The sequence below is a fragment of the Homo sapiens genome, chromosome 4 (genome assembly GCF_000001405.40).
Source record: "Homo sapiens chromosome 4, GRCh38.p14 Primary Assembly".
NCBI classification, from domain to species: Eukaryota; Metazoa; Chordata; class Mammalia; order Primates; family Hominidae; genus Homo; species Homo sapiens.
Genome location: NC_000004.12, coordinates 185,702,045 through 185,722,640, shown reverse-complemented (window position 1 = coordinate 185,722,640; position 20,596 = coordinate 185,702,045). Strand labels below are relative to the sequence as shown.

Sequence of the window (20,596 nt, the reverse complement as noted above, 5' to 3'; positions counted from 1 at the left end):
CAACAAGTTTCTCAAAATTCTGTCTCAGAATAACTAATAATCTATTCCCAATAATTTTTTTTATCACCAATCAGATGCCAGACACAGATTCATTGTAGAGTACCATTCTGCAAAGCCTGAAGTGATATTCACAGTTTTCACACTTCTGAAAATATCCAAAAAGGCAATGTAGCTGCTTCGTGTTAAACTACATTAGAATAAATTGCAGAGACTGTTTTCCAAATAATGCCACTTTTTAAATTAAATGCCCACATGAATGATAATAATTTAGAATTAACATAATTTATCATAGCTAATTAGAACTGAAGAATCATTTTGCGATCCAAAGAATTAGAAACTCTTTTTGTCTTACCAGAATTTCACAGATGTTTTTCATATTTTTTAAACAAAATTTGGAAAGTAACCCATATGTCCCTGACACTGTTCTCTGGAAAGATAGATAAAGCTTATACGTGATCATAGCCGTTTCATCATCCTGTCTGGACCCAGTGACATAATATGATCTCTTTTTTGTTTATTTTTGTGGGTAGTTCTGAAGCACTGTTTGTTCCAAACATCTCTTACAGAATTCACGACCTTTTAACAGGTATTAATGGTGTTTATATAGTGACTTGGAGCTTAAGTGATTGTTTTGGCTGAAATCTAAAGAACTTCTCATTTTTTTTCTTCCTTGACTACATTTTGCTACATATTGAGAAGGTTGTTTTGGAAAAAAATGTATATATGTGCACTCTCACATGATAATTCTCTCTAAATTATTTGGAAGTTGAGCAACACAGGGCCTAATTATACGGAACCAAAGTCTGTAATTCCTAAGAGGAAGACCTCAGCTCTCTGGAGCAGTGCCACTCCTCATGTGATTGATTTCGTCTTCTAAGACAGCTTTTGTTTTCCCTTCTTTCCAATGCGTGCAAAACATAAGCCACTTGACTATGCAGAAAGATCTGGGTATTTTCTTCTTCCACTTTACAGTAAAATATTTGACTTTGAAACTGTGCCCAAGGGTTCATCTTCCGGCTATACCAAAAAAGTTATTTCTCCATTATGCTTGGTTTCCAAAATTCCAACTGAATGTGACGAAAAGGAGGGGCTCTGACTTTCTTGGGCTGCTCCAGGAAGTTTGCCTGCAGAAGCTTCAGGGGCTCCAGTTCTGCTACCAGTTCTGTCATTTGCTTAGGAAGGTAGGGCAAAGACCCAGTCACCGTGCTGATCTTGTCTGCAAAGAGATCAAACGTTCACATCTGTCATAGTTAAAGAGTAGGTGGGGACCGGGTATGCTGGCTCACGCCTGTAATCCTAGCACTTTGGGAGGCCAAGGCAGGCGGATCACCCAAGGTCAGGAGTTTGAGACCAGCCTGGCCAACATGGCAAAACCCCGTTTCTACTAAAAATACAAAAATTATCTGGGCGTGGTGGCAGGCACCTATAATCCCAACTACTCAGGAGGCTGAGGCAGGAGAATCACTTGAACCCGAGAGGCAGAGGTTGCAGTGAGCCAGATCACAGCCAGGGCGACAGAGTGAGATTCTGTCTCAAAAAAAAAAAAAAAAAAAAAAGAATAGGTGGGAAAGCAGGAGTTAGGAAGTGGCTCACAGTTGTACTTTGTGGTAGATTGTCTCACACTATCCTCTGAGCAATCCCATGAGGCAGGTGGATGAGGAACTTTAGTATCATTCCCAATGCAAGGGTGAGAAGATTGAGGCCCAGGGAGACAGAGCGATGGGCCTACGGTCACGCGGCTGTCACTTTGTGTCGGAGCCGTGGCTGGAATCTAAGCTTTTAAGGTCCTGGTTCAAGGTTGCTCATCCCACACGGCCTCATTTCAAGGGGTGAATTATCAGTACCTCCACTGTGAAAAAACTGCAATTCATTCTTTGAGATGATCATGTAAATACCAGTCAAAAAATTCAGTAAATGCATCCTCAAGGTCTCCAAACCAAAATATAATTTGCAAACTGTTTTCTAGCACCTGGCACAGTTTTCACATAAGATGGAGTCACAAGGCAGAGCACCTGGGTACCGGAGGCCCAGGCCAATCTCTTAGATACATGGAAGGAAGGAAGAAAGGGAGAGAGGGAGGGAGGGACACAGAAAGGAAATACAGTCTTTAAAGAGGTGCAGGTGAAGTGACCTGGGCCTAAGGAAGAGAAAGCAATTGCATGGGTGTGATCTACTGGGTTACAGTGCCACAGAAATACGTTCAATAGCCGCCGTGTCACTCAACCCAAGACAGTTAGAAGGAATACAGAGTTTAATGTAAAATTGGGGACTTTCTTCTTATGATTATACATAAATATAAAATGGAACTATTGAAATTGTCTGGATTCTGACTGTGGGAATACATTTATTGCGATAAAACCTCAGCTGCCGTTACAGAGATTCAAATTAACAGAGGTTAAACATAAAAGATGTGTATTGCTCACTCATGTAAAAGTACAGATTGGTGGTGCAAGGCTAGTACGGAGGCTTCACAATTCTGGGAACCTGGGCTCCTTCCATTTATTGCTCTGTCTTTCTCAGCGCTAAACATGGCTTCCCTTGGTGGTCAAGAGGGCTGCCCCAGCTCCTGACATCAGTTCTGCGTTCCAGCCAGCAGGAAAGGGAAAAGCAAAGAGGGCACCTCTTGCCTTTAAGGCCACAGCCTCTTGGAAGATGCACACAGCATTTCCTCTCACACCCACTGGTCAAAATTTGGTGATAAAACAAGGGAAACTGAAAAATGTAATCTTAGCCTGGCTAAAGCCATGTGTTCAGCTGAAACTTCCGTTATAAATTAAGAAGAGGGACTGGGTGCAAGAGGACACGTAGCTTTCTCTGCCATGTGTAATAACCATCCCACAAGACCCTAGAGCAGAATCCAGTTATACAGGCAAGAAGAATTCCTATTGCATTATGCTAGGGCTTTTGTTTTCAAAATGTAGATTAGAAACACGTCTTGGATGATTTCAACAATTGAAGGAAGATTTCTCACCTTGTCAAGTGCTACTCATTTGCGGCTAAAAACTAACATCTCATGCTAAGCTAGTCAGAGCCAAATATAGTTAGTTTGATGATGCTTGCCACCAAAATATCAAGACAAATGTTCTTGAAGCATAGCACTTTTTCTCTTTGCCTTTTCCCCACATTCAGTCTATTTACAATAAAAAAGTAGGTTGAGGGATGGAGTTGCAGAAACTGATCCTTATAACTGTTACTCTATATGTCACAAAACTGATAACCAAATGCTGGAGAGAAAAACGTGTCTGAATTCTGTTAGTATAGCCTGACCTAGCCTGAGCACATTTAATAATTAATTGCAGTGTACAGTTCACGCTGGTTTGAGAGTACCTACCGGCAAGTCTGATTACCTCATTCTTCAAGGAGCTTTCTTGCTTTGGTTCCAGAGCTGTGACTTTTACTTGCTGCTTCTCCAAGCCAGAAAAACTAAATTTTTCTTTTCTCTTTTCTCGGTAACCTCTCTCTAAGAAAATTATTTGCCAGAGTAGTTTCTAAAACATATACTTTAACGATGCTATCACATACCTTTCTTTATACAACAGAGAACAGGTACACCGATTTTTTTTTAAAACCAGATTCTATTTTAGAATTATTGGGCAAGCTTGTTATTTAATGGAATTTAATAATCCACTTGTAGAGAGTGTGACTCATTTGCAGGGCAAAAATAAATCATTTACCTGTTTCTAATTTATAACTCTGAGTTTCCACATGACAGGTCTGCATAGAGCAAACCTGCAAAGAAAATTAAGGCACACAACTGCTCTTATGAAGGTAGATCAGAACATTATTTTTTTTAAAGGTGGAGATTAAGGGAACATAACCTGAGTGTCTGACTCTCTCACTTTGCAAACGAGGGAGCAGAAGTCCACAAAGGTGGAATGATGCCTAAAGACACTCACCCAGTTAATGACCAGAATCTGGAATGCCCCAGCTCTCCCAAAGAAGTGCATTGTTTTGTTGCTTGACATTCAGAACAACCTCAGACTTCTAAGTGGAATAAACATAGGTGTCCTTGTGCACAGGATATGCTCAATCAGTATCCAGCCCTAGGTAACCTGTACGCCAACTGTGCACCTATCATGGAGAATGAGGTGGTGATCAGCAACCAACAAGACAGCAGATTTAAGAAAACTTTCTCAGCTTCTCTTGGCTTCCTTGAACTCTCCTGCTTTCAGTAGTTTGTCCTGTTTATACAAACTTGTCTTTTCTCAAGATGGGTGACCTTCTAATTTTTTGTAATTTTATACAACTGATCCTGAAACTCTTGAGTACTGTTCAGCTGCATTCAGAGCACAACGAAATAATGTTTATGATGCTAATAATAATAATGAAAATGATAGCTCATATTTCTGTAATCATTTGTTCTGCGCCAGCTATTTTTCTAAGTATATTACATATTTTCTTTTTTTTTTTCTTTGAGACAGACACTCTGACACCCAGGCTGAAGTGCAATGGCGCGATCTTGGCTTCCTACAGCGCCTGTCTCCCAGGCTCAAGCGATTCTCCTGCCTCAGCCTCCCGAGTAGCTGGGATTATAGGCGCCCGCCACCACACCCAGCTAATTTTTGTATTTGTAGTAGAGATGGGGTTGCACCATGTTGGCCAGGCTGTTCTGGAACTCCTGACCTCAAGTGGTCCACCTCCCAAAGTGTCGGGGTTGCAGGCGTGAGCCACTGCGCCCGGCCATACATATATGATTTCATTCCATTCTCACGGTGATCCTATCAAGTGCTTACTGTAACGTATTTCGGTTTTATAGTTGTAGAAACCAAGGCACAGAGAGAGAAAGTAACTCACCCCAGGTCATGCGGCTAATAAGCAGAAGAGTTGTGTTGTAAACCCAGATTGTGACTTTTAAGCCCTACCTGATATTGGCTGTCACGGAAAAAGAATTGTCTATCTAATAACTGCATATACAGGAGATAGTGTGGCAGAGTGAAATGTCTTGGGCTCAGAAGTATCACAGTCTTTTTCTACTTTACCTCAATCCAGGGCGCCCAGCTAACTACACTCCTCAGTTTGTGGTACTTTATCTCCTTTGACCACATGCGGCTTCTACCTATATGTGTAAGCCCTGCTTTTAAACCACAAGCCACCCCCCATGCCTATGTGTAATACCGTCTAGCGTCTTAAGAAATTACTGAAAGATACGACTCAATTTGAAGAAGCAAATAATACGCGTTGCACACAGGATCGCTATTGGAGGATGTCGGCCTTCCTCAGATAATAGTTGCCATGTTTCTGCTACAGAGATATCCATGGCTCCCTTAGTCTCCTCCCTTTGTGCAAAACAATATCTCACAGGAAGTAACAGAAAAAAATTATGTCCAGCAATCACTGCCCTTTTCTTCTGGCATTTTGACAGTGGCAGGGTTATGCCCTATAATCAAAGGAAACACAGAGCGGCCATCTCCTAGCAACTCCCTGAAGGTCGCTCCCGGGGAATCACTGCTGTGGCTGGGTGTGGGTGCACTTCACTTCCAGGTTTGAAGACAGCGGCGCTCCCACGCCAGCCACGAGCTCTTCTCAGTATACTTCCAATACAGTGAACCTGTGGTGGGTAGTGTTGCAGGAAGAATGAGCACTAAAGTGTCCTAAGCTCGGACAGTTTTATGGAAAATACATGGAAAAGCTTTATCATCTTCTTGGTTGTGGTTAAAAATCTAATTGCAATTAAATGTCACTAGTAATCAAAATCATCTTGCTACTCTGCCGTTTCCCTTTGCCAAAGTCTGTTTCCCACTTCTTTTCTGTAAAGGGACATCTGTCATGCAGGGGTGGACCGCTCACAGCATCCTCCCTCCACTGATGTTTCCTCCCCGTGGGCCTCTGACCCGCCTGCGCAGTCTGGTGTGCTGGTGAGACCAGTCAGGCAGAACTGGCTCCCACTCAATCCAGGGAGCTGCTGCTCCTGGAGCCTAAAGCACCAGCGGAAGGTGCAATGAACACAGATTTTACTCCACCATCTGTGGAGTAAAGAAGCAAATGTGAGCCCAGAAGAATTCATCCTTCAAACCAAGATTTAGTAGACGCCCTTAAAAAAAACTCATTTATACAAGAGAAAACCTGATTCGTGAATTCATTTGAATGAGGGACCAAGGCAAGAAGGGGCCCCGTATCTGAAATATTTCAACCGCTAGTCACACCTGTCGGTGCCAAGGCAACATCCCCTGTTTAATAGCAGCAGGAGTCACATTTTTGGCAGTACCTGCCAGACTCACTTCTAAGTGCTTCGTGTATACGCATCCACTGGGTCCTTCAGCCACCCCAGGAGGTTGGCACCGTTGTTATCCCTGTTTCTAGAGGAGGAAATGTGGGCAGGTTCAGAGAGAGGATAAGTCACTTTCTGAAGTGATCCATCTGGATATGGTAGAATGGGCTTTTCACAAAGCTGGCTTGGCTCCAGCATCTACACTCTTGACTACCTCGCCAGCCTGCCCCAGCAGCAGGTGTTACGGGAGACCACGCCCATCTCTGTCTGGGAGTTGAGCAGCAGGTGATGCCACAGTTCTTAAAAGTAGCCCATAATCAGGATCATAAGCCTTCGTTATGAAATACTTTTTCTATGAAATCCTCTGATGATATAGGAACTGTCTATTTCTATTTATTAGAAGAGGAAGAGGACTACTTTCTCTTAGGTCTCTGACTGTGTGGCTTGCCATAGAAAAAGATGTTACTTCTAATCTCTCTCCAGCAGTCACATTGTAGGACATGGCACAGTGGGCATGACTGTTAAGAATAGCCTTCCTTTCAGAATATTCTGTTACACATTCCAGCAACATTTATTAAGCACTTAAGATTTATTATTTATCTATTGAGCATTTAGTAGTTTTCACTCTTTTTTTATGACCTCTGTCTTTAAGCCACTTGTAGTCGAGGGAGGAAAACATGGATGGAGCTGTCACTCCTGCATATTTCTAAAGGATTTAGATTCTGTCTACATTTTTGGTCTGTTGTATTTCAAGTTGTTGAGTTCCAGAAATGTTCTACTCGCTACATAAAGTACTTTTTAATCTATTTCTATCAAAAACAATTTTGAAATATAATGGAGTGTCTTTTAATCCTGGTAAGTTAGGGCTTAGGGAAAAATAGAGTTAACTTTACCAGTTTTTTTCTGATTTTAAATTTTCAGTCTCATGTTTCTTTAGTCTTAATTATTCTAGGTTAAATTATTTCTTTTTATTTTTTAAACTAAATATTTATTTTATTTTTTATTTCGTGTCTGTTCCTTTGGCCTTTTCATAGGGCTTTTCTCAACTTTACTATCTCCTTGGGGTACAGGAGTGGTGTTTCTTGGAGAGAAAAGCTATAAATTGCTGGAGACTAAATTAATATCAAAATAGAAGGAATTTTGTTACATCATCTCTTTTTCGCCTTATTGCCTGGCATAATCCCATTTTATGCCTGTTACATCAGCATAAATACTGATAACTTCTACTTTTAGTCTTAACATCACTCTTTCAGTTTAGGCAACTTATTTAGTCATGCTATCCAAAAGCAGAATAAAGCTAATGATTAAGTAAATTTATTCTTTGCAAACAAATTCATGGAGATTAATGAGAAAATGTTGATATTTTTAAAAAATCTGTCGTGAAAAATGCCATGGTAAAGTGGTCTTCTTTTTAATGATTTACAAGCCTTTAACTTATAACCCAAAACACAGTTGCTTATTTCTTTATAGACTCATGTGTTCTGAAGATAAGTGAAACTTTTAAATGATTTGAGAGGTTTAGGTAGCATGCCTGTTGATATGGTTTGGCTCTGTGGCCCCACCCAAATCTCACCTTGAATTGTAATAATCCCCATGTGTCAAGGGTGGGGCCAGGTGGAGATAATTGGATCATGGGGGTGGTTTCCCTCAAGCTGTTCTCGTGGTAGTGAATACATCTACGAGATCTGACGGTTTTATAAAGGAGAGTTCCCCTGCACATGCTCTCTTGTCTGCCACCATGGAAGACATGACTTTGCTCCTCCTTTGCCTTCTGCCATGACGGTGAGGCCTCCCCAGCCATGTGGAGCTGTGAGTCCATTAAACCTCTTTCCTTTATAAATTACCCAGTCTCAGGTATGTCTTTATTAGCAGTGCGAGAACAGATTAATACACCTGTATACCTAATTGCTGTTGTGAAACACATTTCTGCACAAATTTTAGGTTATAGGTTTTCTGTGTTGATGAGGTGAAAAAAAAAAGCCTAAACTAAATTTAAGTGAAGTTATATAAACATTACATCTGCCATTATTCTACTTAATGCCACCTAAGTGTATCCATGAAACTCAGTATATAAACCTGGTATAGACCAAGTGTAGGGTCAGAGGCTGGCTGAGGGAGCAATGGGATGACGTGAAGCTGAAAGCAAGACACTGCTGCAAAATATCCTACACTCTAGCCTGCTGACTCCTCCCATTATTTGAGATACTCCTTTAGAAAGAATGGAAGAAAATCTGTTAAAATGCAAATGTATTATTTTGATAAAGCAATGCCTCATCATTCATAATTTTAACAAAACCCAAGGAAATTAAATGTAAGATAGAAAATCAACCATATATCCACTTAAATAATGAAGGTTATGTTATCACCAGGAAAGTAATTTTTTCATTATACTTAAGGATAGGTGGGTAGCTGTTCCATCCCATTTCTAGAATTGAAGTTTAAGATCCTGTGTAGTGGTGGTGATTCCATATTTCACAGAATTGCCTCAGCACTGTTTGAAATCAATGCTAATGGTCAGAGTCCAAAGTCAGATTGTGATGTTTGTCTAGTTTCACACAAAACGACAAAGGCAAATAATGGTGTGCAGTATGAACATATGGCAATATTAATGTGTACCAGGCTGCAATATCATGACAGTGGGAAACTAAATGATAGTAATGATTAAATTATAGTAATGATTACAGATTCTACTCACTAAATTATAAAGCACCGATTTGTTTCACTCTGACTTTCTCTTGCACCCTTTTCCACAGCAGCAATATTTCTGCATTTGCCTAAGTGGTGAAGCTGACTACCTCTTTGCATTTGCTAAAGGAAAAAAGTATATATTGTTTTCAGCAACTTGTAATACTCATCCCTTCCCCTAACTACCCTGTGTAGAGCCACACGATGCCAGTACGTGGACTGAACGTCCTTATAGGTTCCACCCCATGATTAAATTTCCTGCCTCTGAATCACGTTCTCCTGATGAAAGTCTCTGCTCTTCTGAGCTAATCCTTGTGGTGGGAAAGAGATAAAAAGCAAACACGTAAGATGAGAGGTGATAAGAAGTGTTCTGCAGAAAAACTTTTAAAAGACAAAGGAAACATGGAGGACTGCATTTTATATGGGGCAGTTAGGAAAGGTCTCTGATACAGAGGTGCTGGAGCATAAATCTGAAGAACTCAAGGAGAGACCTGGGGCTCCAGGGAGAGGACAGTGTGGGCTTGGAGTGTCCAAGGCTTAACGAGGTAGCCAGCCTCATTAGAGGCTGGAGGACAAAGAGGAAGAGTGGTAGCCATGAGCTAGAGGTGCAGTGAGGGCCCAGGACACAGAGGATGCTGCCGGCCAGCAAAGGAGGGGAGATGGGAGGTGACTGGAGGGCTTTGAATAGGAGAATGCCTGATGTCTCTCAGATGTTTGAGCATCACTCTGGATACTTTGGGAACAGTGGAACGCAGGTGATGTCAATGGAGGAAGGGAGAAAAACCATAAGGTTACTGGAAAGCTAGACTAAGGTGTTAGGTGGTAAACAGAAGGTGGTGATGAGAGGTGTGCAGGTTCTGGAGAGATTTTAAAGAGACAGTAGCGATGCAGGATATTCCCCTGACCCCTTCACGGCACTTGCGAGGGGGGTGCCTCATTTACTCAGCCTGCCCCTCTCAACTCCTCACAGGAGGGAGTGCACCAGCAAGCAGAGTGGAAGCTGGCGTGCATGAGCGCTGGAACCCGCTGGCCGCTTTGGCACTGGCAGGAGCGAACTCCATGCAGTCCCCGTTCGAGCATCCAGGTGGGGGTGCCTGTGACTCCCAAAGCCCCAGAGGGCGTGTTGCAGTGCTGTTCTAGCTCTGCTGTCCACGGGCGGCTTAAGTGTTAACAGCTTAGTGGGCCCTCTGCCTTTTCGCATGAGGCAGCTACCCCCGCCAGCGAGGGCAAAGGCCAGTGTGACAGCCTTTTATATTTGCACTGGTGGCTTCTGAGCTCTTGCCTGGCATCCAGGAAAAATGAGGTTGCACAAACAAATTGAAGGATGATAAATGTGGGGGATTTTATTGCCGATAAAGTGGCTCTCAGTGGGAAGGGGAGCTGAACAGGGGATGGGCAGGTAGGTAGTCTTCCCCTTGAATCCAGCTGTCTCTGGCTGGATTCTTCTCCGAAGTTACGCCGTCAAGCTGTCCCTCCAAAGTCAAGCTGCTTCTCTCTGACATTCATCTGTAGTCCCACCTACCAGCTAAGTCTGGGGTTTTTATGGGCACAGGATGGGGTGGGGCATGGTTATAGGTAGTTTAGGAAAGGCAACATTTTAGCGGGTAAAGAGGGATACAAGTTCTCACTTTGGGCCATGGTTTCAGGCTTTTCAGCTTGAGGGTGGGGTTTTGCTGGGGAATCACCCTTTTCTGCCTAGAATTTCTCTGGCTTCTGTTCATATCAGTAGGATCTGCTCCAACATGAGGATAGTAGGAGGAGTTATGAGTCAAATATGATGTCAGTGTTTTGGGGCTGGACAAGCAAAATGGTGATGCTCTTGATAGAAAAATGAAACTCCATCAGTGGAGAGGATAGGTGGCGGGGAGCACGGTCAGCTGAGTGTGGTGTTGGGCAGCTTGTGCGTGTGCTGAATAGGTGCTGATATACCAAGTCTGGCCTTTTAAAGACAGACCCGGGCTTCAGAAGTACATTTCTGAATCTTCAAATAGCTCTACATGAGGTTAAACAGCCCCTCATTCAAACACATTTGGACATTCCTCTACGATTGCCTCAAATATTATTGCCTAAACCCCAACATATGTTGGGAATTTGGATGGGGAAGGATGTAGAACAGATTGCTTTGAGACAGAAAATAATGCAAAAAGATGAAGGGAAGTGAATACACAGTAAAAATATGTTAGACACCAAAGATTAGCTTCACTTACACTGCAGTTTTTGTGGGCACTTTGACACTTAGAACTCACCTGGCTGTTGCTGTACAGCAAGAGACCATGTGAACTGAAGCATTGGTTAGACCTATACATTTCTACAAACCGCTCTAGCCCTAGTTGAACTTGGGAAAATAAATATCTGTATGAAAAAGTTGTCTAGATCTGTTACACAATTACTATCTTGTTTAATTGTAGAATGCATGAAATTGGTTGTAAAATGGCCTGGTTAAGAGTCTCATGTCAGGGCCAGGCATAGTGGCTCATGCCTGTCATCCCAGCACTTTGAGAGGCTGAGATGGGAGGATGAGATGGGAGAGGCTGAGATGGGAGGCCAGGAGTTCAAGACCAGCCCAGGCAACAAGGCAAGACCCCAGCTCTACAAAAAAAAAATGAAAAGATTTGCTGAGTGTGATGGTGTATATCTGTACTCCCAGCTACTCAAGAGGCTGAGGTGGGAGGGTCCCTTGAATCCAGGCAGTCAAGGCTGCAGTGAGCCATAATCACACCACGGCACTCCAGCCTGGGCAATGGAGAGAGACCCTGTCTCTAAAAAAAATAAAAAATAAAATAAAGTTATCCCAAATTAATTAATAGGATCCTTGTTCCGTTTTGCACACGATTTATTTGCAGTTTCCTGACAGGGATGTGACTCAGTTTGCATCTGGGAGAGCACATCGGTGTTTACCGGGTTTCCCTAAGCTCATCAGGCAGCACCACCTCTCCACGGGCACTGTGCCCGCTCACCTCCCACGCTGCATGAGCAACAGGCTGGCCAGTGCCCACCGTTACCATCAGCAGCCACGACGAATCCATCACTCAAGTTCTGAAACTGATGAGACGGGAGCTCCCTCCTTCAGCACAAAAGCCACTGCATAGCTCACACAGAGAACAAAGGCAAAAACCAAAACCCCTTCAGTACTAGAATCTAATGACCATAACACAAACAGTCAGCATGTAGGAAAGAAAAAACTTGAGTGGTAAATATAGGAGAAAACACATTCATTCCATCTTCAAAATTTGGGGGGGAGTGTGGATCTAATATAAATCCTAAGAACTCAGACACAGTCGATTGAGAACAGAGCAATTCCCTTTTCCCTCGTTTTAAAGAATCATGTACATAAAAGGTTTGAACACTTTGAACTTTGAATAAGTTTGAACACTTCATGCCTTTTGGCCACTAGCATGCTGTTATTTTATGTCGCAAGACGAGCAACAATGAGGCATCCACAGCTCCCAGGCGTCAAGACTGAAGGACACTCTGCCTCTCCCTTAGGGTTTGAGATCTCTGAGTCAGGGAACACTGAGTGAAAGCAAAGCTGAAATATTACTGGGGATCTTCAGTCTTGGGGAAAAGAGTTATAGGTGTTGGATTAACATCGAGTGAAAGCAAGCTGAAATATTACTGGGGATCTTCAACCTTGGGAAAAAGAGTTATAGGTGTTGGATTAACAACATTCGGAGGCCTGGTTCCCTTCATTTTACAGATGAGGAAACCGAGGCCAAAAACTTCAAGTGACTTTGTCCCTCTCCTTAACATACTTACCAATGTAGCCAGAAAGGCAATGCAGGCTGGTCCACAGAGTGAGTCACCTTAGTCAATTACAGCTGAACTCCTTGTTCCACTCTTTCTTCCTTCTCACTACTGCACTTGACTAGTCTTAAAAAAAAAAAAGGCAATGCATATAAAAAGTTAAATTAAATGGCAGTAATATCAGAAATGTTGCAAGACAGCCTAGATTCAATGTCAGATGAAGGGCACATGCAGTGAGCCTACAGTAATGCAGAGATGTGGGTGACGGGGCAGGTGAGGAGATGGGAGGATCTTGAACTCAACTTCAAAAAGCAAATGAGTGGAGTTTGCTAACAGAGGACAGGATCTACAGATGGCCACAGGCATTAAAGGGAAGTTTGTGTTAGGGAAGGGTAGGTTAATTTTTCTGCCTTATCATAGGAATATATTGTTTTAAATGTAGGGGTAGACATGTATGCTATAATTTATATGTCTTTTTCATTTCATTTTAAAAGTAACAAAAACACATTTAAAAAGTAACAACATGTATTACCAACACTTGGAAAATTGGCAGAGAAAGTCACCAATAATTATTCCTACCCTAATAAAAAAGATTAGTCTTTGTATGAAACCTGCCATTTAGTGTCAACAAAATGTAAGTTTCTTTATTTCTTTATTGTAACTTTAGTTTCCTTTTACTAAAAAAAAAAAAAAAAAAAAGATTTGGCCAGCACAGCGGCTCATGCCTATAATCCCAGCACTTTGGGAGGCCAAGGCGGGAGTTCAAGACCAGCCTGGCCAATATGGCAAAACCCCATCTCTACTAAAAAATACAAAAGTTAGCTGGGTGTGGTGGTGCATGCCTGTAATCCCAGCTACCTGGGAGGTTGAGGCAGGGAGAATCGCTTGAACCCGAGAGGCGGAGGTTGCAGTGAGCAGAGATCCCGCCACTGCACTCCAGCCTGGGCAACAGAGCGAGACTCCGTCTCAAAAAAAGAGAAAAGGTTGAAGAGTTCTCTGGTTCACAAGAACTGAATTGAAATTTTTTGAGGGACACATACAGTCATACCCACGTAGAAATAGATATAAAGATTGGAGATCCAGAAATAATATTCTAATGCAGATTTTAAAAGATAGTAGTAGATTATAAAAGTCATGATAAAAATAACATGAAACTCTCTAGAAAACACTTTATTTGGATCTTGGAAAGGCGCTCCACGTTTCAGAGCCACCTTTTGTGGGCCTTTTCCCCCTTGCCTTAATGATTTGAAGGTTATCAAAACCACATGTTTCTTCCCCCTTTCCTTTTTGATTAGCATGACCAAGAAAGCACTGGGAAGGGGTAAAATGGAGGCAGGCATCACGGAGGGCGGAAAGAAGGGCTAAGATAATTCCAGGAAAAACTAAAAATAGCTCATTAGCCTTATGCCAAATGTATATGAAGTCATTTACTTTTTATAAGGTTCATCCAGCTGAATAAAGTGATTTCATTTTTGAATGCTCCTGTGATTATAACTAAAAGGTGACTCATCCAATCTGATGGCTCATAATTCCTCTTGAGACTAAACATTCAGAATCAGCATGAACAAAAAATTAATGAAGACACAAAGGGTGGTTCTGATGATGGTTTGATCCTTGCAAAGTTAAACAAACGCTGGTTGTGCTCCCTGTCTTTATCTATTACATGTACCTGTGACAATATAGTTTCTTGACCACATTTATTTATCGTGAGTTATTATGTAGTGACAGATATTAACTTAAGGAATGACATGCTTAATATGTTTGCCACAATTCCATACATTGATGAGGATGCTGCTTTTCTGACTAAGGAGAATTTTTGTTCATCTAAGAACATCTCCCCTGGAGAGTGAGAGCCCAAGTCGGCTCTGCCTTAAATTCATGATCTGATTTTATGAGGGTCACCCAGAACCCACTGTGCCCTTAACACTGAAGCCTAGGAGAAGCCTGGGCTCCTTCAAGGGGAAGAAAGATGGGCCTGACCATCCTATGGTGGGTGATAACAATAAAGTGCTCAGGGATGTTTGTGAGAAACACAGAGAAATACTGATAAGGTTTGGCTGTGTCCCCACCCAAATCTCATCTTGAATTGTAGCTCCCATAATCCCACGTGTCATGGGAGGGATCCGGTGGGAGGTAAGTGACTCATGGGGTGCGTCTTTCTCGTGCTGTTCTTGTGGTAGTGAATAAGTCTCATGAGATCTGATGGTTTTATAAATGGGAATTCCCCTGCACAAGCTCTCTTGCCTGCTGTCATGTAAGATGCCCTTTGCCTTCTGCCATGATTGTGAGGCCTCCCCAGCCATGTGGAACTGTGAGTCAATTAAATCTCTTTCCTTTATAAATTACCCAGTCTTGGGTATGTCTTTATTAGGAACATGAGAACAAACAAATACAACTACCACCACGGAATTGTGAGAACAAGCATCAAAAGCAGCAGCTGTCCTATTGAAATAAATTTATGTGCCTTGTACCCATGATAAAAAAAAAAAACAAAGATGTTTATGACATTTGTCTTAGAGTAATTATAGTATACATGAGCATTTCCAATATTGCTCATTACAGGGTGTACTGTACCTGATTAATCCTGATTATGACAGACTCACACTCAAATTCTGGTCAATAACTAAGTTATGTGTTATAAACTGTTGCAATCCTTTATGTCCTTAGATCCAAGAAAGACATTATAGTACAAAAACTCTGAAGCCAAACTGCCTGCATTCCCAAGCTTCACTCACTACTTAATAGCTGTGTGACCTTGTACCTTCCCTGTGGTTTGGCGTTTCTTTGCAGTAAAATAAGATAACAATAGTATTTAGCTTGTTTGGTTGTTGTGAGGCCTCAGGTCAATTAATATATGTGTAATATGTAATATATATGTAACACATATGTAATTAATATACATGTAATATCTGTAAATATTCTTAGATCAGTTTTTGGCACATAGAAAATACTTTTTAAGTAGGAGCTATATCATTTAAATTATCTGCCAAGCAGTTAATTCACAAGAAAAGCATTAAGAAACATGTACATACGTGTTTATGACAGAACTCTCCAATATAGCAAAAATCTAGAAGCAACCCAAATGCCCCTGAACAGGAAGTGGATGTACAAAATGTGGTATTTTGACAAAATTAAATATTATATAGGAGACCAAGTGAACACACTACAGGGATAACCAACAATATAGATGAATCTTAGCAATGTAATTATATGCAGCATTATATCATTATAAAGATTAAAACAACTAAAATAAATGTGCTTTTAGAAGACATATAAATACAATGAAATTATATGAACAGGAAAGGAAGAGAATGATAAGCATGGAATTCAGAATGATGGCTACTCAAATGCATGGAGCTGAGGGATGTTATAACAGCAGAAGTCATCTGGATAGACACAGGTCCTTACGAAGGTCTATCTTTGGCTTTAGATGGTTGGTGTGTAGATGTTTAGTGACAGAAGGAAGGAAAGGAGGGAGGGGGATGTACATGACCTTGTCATGCACCAAGGATTGTGGTTTATCCATTTGTGTATACTTGAGACACAACCCCCAAAGTAACAATAATCATTCTCCATTGCTACAATCAATATCACTTATGTTATATTACAACTAACTAAAAGAGAAAAGAGTCAAGGGTTTGTTTGCTTGCTGTTTGTGGATCTGATTTTGGTTGGGATATGAAGTGGTAAGATATATACAAACAGCCCATGTACTGAGAATTTTTCTAAAATGAATATTTGTATTAGTCTTCTCTTGGAAAAACAAAAATCACAAGTCACATTCATGTTTAGGGTTCAATAGTAAAAATGCTTTTGTTTAAAATGTATGATATAATTTGGTGATTTAGAATTGATTGATTAAATCAACGTGGCAAGCATAATATTTTCATGATACTGTTGGTATTCAGGAAACCTAAATAACTTCTTAAAATACACTTCAGACTCAAACAAAATCATCCTGCCAATTGCCAAAATATCAGCTCAATTATCTTTGCCATTTTCCAGGGATTTTCAGGAATGAGTGTGGATTTGTTAGCCTGACACCTCTAAATCATCTAGAGATTCCTCAAGTGACATATGCTGGAAGACAATGTAAACTGGTGTCTAGGGACACCATTACATTCAAGATGTCCAATAGCAACTCAGAAGAAAGGCCCTCAATAGACTAGAAGAGCCAAGGGGTGGACTGTAATGGCAAATGAGGGGAATCCTCAAGCCCCTTTGTCTAACTCTCCCTGACAAACCACTTCACGATGGGAGTCATTCCATCATGTCTGTAAATGAGGACATCTTCTTTCTATAAATATTCACTGGGTAAATAATATGTACCAGATATTGTTAGAGGCTGAGTGTATAGCAGTGAAAAAACGGAAAACCCCCATTCATGTTTGCATATAGAACATATCAATATTAAACTTTAAGGAATTTTTTTTTATTTTTGATTTTATATATATTTTTTGAGATGGAGTCTTGCTCTGTCGCCAGGCTGGAGTACAGTGGCGCGACCTTGGCTCACTGCAACTTCCACTTTCTCGGTTCAAGCGATTCTCCTGCCTCAGCCTCCCAAGTAGCTGGGACTACAGGTGCGCACCACCACACCCAGCTAATTTTTGTATTTTTAGTAGAGACGGGGTTTCACCATGTTGGCCAGGATGGTCTTGATCTCTAAGAAATTTTTTTAACGAACAGGTCCAGTGTTTACATAATCCATCTGAAAAAATGTACTCCTAAAATGTTTTTGATAAAACAAAGAGAGGATTGGAAAATAAAATCTGGACAAAAGTGATATTATGATTCCTTTGAGGCTTTAATATCGACCAACTTCTGGGTAGTCCTGTACTGAACTAGGAAGATAAAATCCACAAACTCGTGGCCTTTGAGACAACTGGGTGGGGAACACAACAGCATGTGTACGTGTGCCTGTGCATGGGCACATGTGTTTGTGTATGTGCACATGTGCATGCACACACTGCTTTTTCTCTCACGTTTATCTGCCATGCTGCCCCTACCTGTGTGACACTGGAACATCATCATCCATTTCGGATCCATTGCTGTTATGGGAAAGTGAAGCAACAGTATAACTCCTGCACCGCATGAGCTGGTCAGAGACTCCCATCTGCCCACTCTGTGTTAACCTGTGCCTAACCTATATCTGACCTGTGCAAAATCAAAAGGACTAGAAATGCTTATCTTTCATGCCCAAGTCTCTTGGGCAAATGAACTGTGGGACTGAGATAGAAGCATGCTGCCCTTCCCAGAGCTGAATGTTTCTTGTCTTATTTCTCAAAACATGGAGAGTTGAGGGAGAGGGAACATCCAGGGTAATTTGTGGAGTAGAATGGGCTCTCAAACTTTTTGATTAATGAATTGAATAATGAATGAATGGGCCAGGTGCGGTGGCTCACGCCTGTAATCCCAGCACTTTGGGAGGCCGAGGGGGGTGGATCACCTGAGGTCAGGAACTCGAGACTAGCCTAGCCAACATGGTGAAACCCCATCTCTACTAAAAGTGCAAAAATTAGCCAGGTGTGATGGTGCATGCCTGCGATCCCAGCTGCTCAGGAGGCTGAGGCAGGAGAAGAGCTTGAACCTGGGAGGCAGAGGTTGCAGTGAGCCGAGATCACGCCACTGCACTCCAGCCTGGGCGACAGAGTGAGACTCTGTTTCAAAAAAATAAATAAATAAAATTGTAAAAAATAATGAATGAATGATAGCATTCTCTGAGGTGAGGAATACTGGAAAAATGGGGTGAGGTTTGGGGAGAAGCGAATATCCTGACTCCAACATGAAATGGGAAATAAATATGAATTATGTCTGAATCGTAACTTAGACATACCAATTTAGAAATTGAGGTAATTCAGTGAGAGTCTAGGCTGTCTTTACTTTTGATAATATTAAAAGCTAGATTCTTAAGCAAAGTGCTAGCATACTTATACTACACAAAATAAACCTTTTTAGAAGCATTCATTCCATATGAATTGATGTTAGAAGTACAAATCATTCTTATGTATTCATTAAACTAGGACCCTGGAGGATTTATTTTAGGTGTTATTGCCTTGACCTAGAGTTAATCTGTATTTTTGAAGGAAAATACGTTGCCTTTTTTCACAAGCACTTTATAACTCACTTCTCCCTAATTCAGATTGCTTTTCTTAATCATTTGAAGTTAATGATACAATTATCACATAGTAGCCTTACAAATAGCCATAATATTAAATCATAATTTATGTAAAGTAAACATCCAAATTCCAAAACATCTGAACATGGGAACAGGCTGATTGAAGTTTTTGTGGGTCATAGGACCTTGGCAATTGTTTGTGAGCCTGATGCCGACATTTCTCAACAGTAATCAAAGCACAGAACAACAACCATCCACATGAAAAATAACTCAAATTGTCATTGTACTTCCCATGCTATTGTCATTTAGCAAGTTATGGCATGACTGATTCAGCCAGTAAGAAAAATGTGATGAGAATATTGGCTAGGAGTACAGTCTGCTTAGATCTTTTAGTTTTTTTTCCTTCAAAAGCCAATAGACTTTTACTCTTTAAAATAGGAGCTATGCAAAAACGTAATATTTGGAATGCCAAGCTGCCTCCATGATTGAGATACCTGTTTTGAAGTTCTCCTCTACTGTAAATTCTAACAGAATAAAAAAAGAATCAATGATTCTTGTTACCTCCAATGTACCTACCACACTACTCATGAAAAAAGCTTTAAAAATTAATGAAAATTGATGGACTGAAGTTCTGTCTGTTTCTTCTGGTGCAGATTTATAAAATGGATTCTATTTTAGGAACGATCAAATTCTAAAATTGAGAAGCTCAAGGGTAGGGCACTGGAGATAATATAGAAAGACATGTAATATATAAACAATTCTCTAGATCTTATATCTGGAGTTAAGTAAAGCAGACAACAAAGAGGGAGACAGCTTGGTTGTCAGGATGGTGGCTTGGACATGTGTTAATATGTACCCCATCTCATCATGATGCTATCAGAAGCACGGGTCTTTAACCATCTCCTTTTTCTGAATTTTAATATGTGAATGAGTCATTAAATATTGGCTTCCAGTTAGTTTCTGCTTGATATGTACAATCATGACAGTAGCATAGTGGTTTGCACATTAAAGGTCAACAAATGTTTGTTGGTTGAATATACCTTTCCTAGATTTAGCAAAATTTCAAACCATAAAAGTCCCTTATGTGCTTTTATATTTTAAATCAAGTCTTTCATGTTATAAACTTTAAAACTCAGGCTCATCGAAGTGAAGTGATTTGCCCAAGCATACCTTCCCACACAAGGCTTAACACCGACTCCCACTTTAGTACAATAAAAAAAAAAAAAGTCATGTAACATTAAGAGCACATACCTGGAAGTCCCCTAAAACATAGGTTGTTGAACTCTGACTCTGCCACTTCCTCGCTATTGATGTGTGCTATGGTCTGGATATTTGATTCCTCCAAATCTCATGTTGAAATTCGATCCCCAATTGGAGATGGGGCTTAATGGGAGGTGTTTGAGTCTTGGGACCAGATACTTCATGAATAGATTAGTGTCCTCCCTGGCAGAGGGAGAGTGAGTGAGTTCTTGCTCTATTCATTCCTGGGGGAGCTCCCTTGAGAGCTGATTGTTGAAAAGAGCCTGGCACCTTCCTGCTCTCTCTTGCTTCTGCTCTCGCCATGGGATCTCTGCACGCCGGCTCCCTTTAACCTTCTCCCCTCCACCAGGAGTGGAAGCATCATGAGGCCTCTCTAAAACCCAAGCAAATGTCAGTGCCATGCGTCCCGTGCAGGCTGCAGAACCGAGAGCCAAATAACCCTCTTTTCTGTATAGATTACCCAGCCTCAGGTATTCCTTTATAGCAACACATTGACTTAGACAAGGTATGTAGATATATACTTCTAAAGTGGCTTCTCCCACAAAAAAGAAATTTGCGGCCCAGCACAGTGGCTCACACCT

The 20,596-nt window shown here is 41.2% G+C and overlaps 1 protein-coding gene across 38 annotated transcripts in view, besides 1 other annotated feature; it reads left to right on the top strand.

The window, feature by feature from the left end:
• Positions 1–20,596, top strand: part of SORBS2 (sorbin and SH3 domain containing 2) — a 370,850-nt gene that overhangs the window by 233,732 nt on the left and 116,522 nt on the right. The window lies entirely within an intron of this gene.
• Positions 9,989–10,524: an enhancer, noted in NCBI's record as "H3K4me1 hESC enhancer chr4:186633271-186633806 (GRCh37/hg19 assembly coordinates)". NCBI's record gives its function as "activates a minimal SCP1, AML or CMV promoter by ChIP-STARR-seq in naive H9 embryonic stem cells {active_cell/tissue: H9 hESC(naive)}" and the evidence as "EXISTENCE:reporter gene assay evidence [ECO:0000049][PMID:30033119]".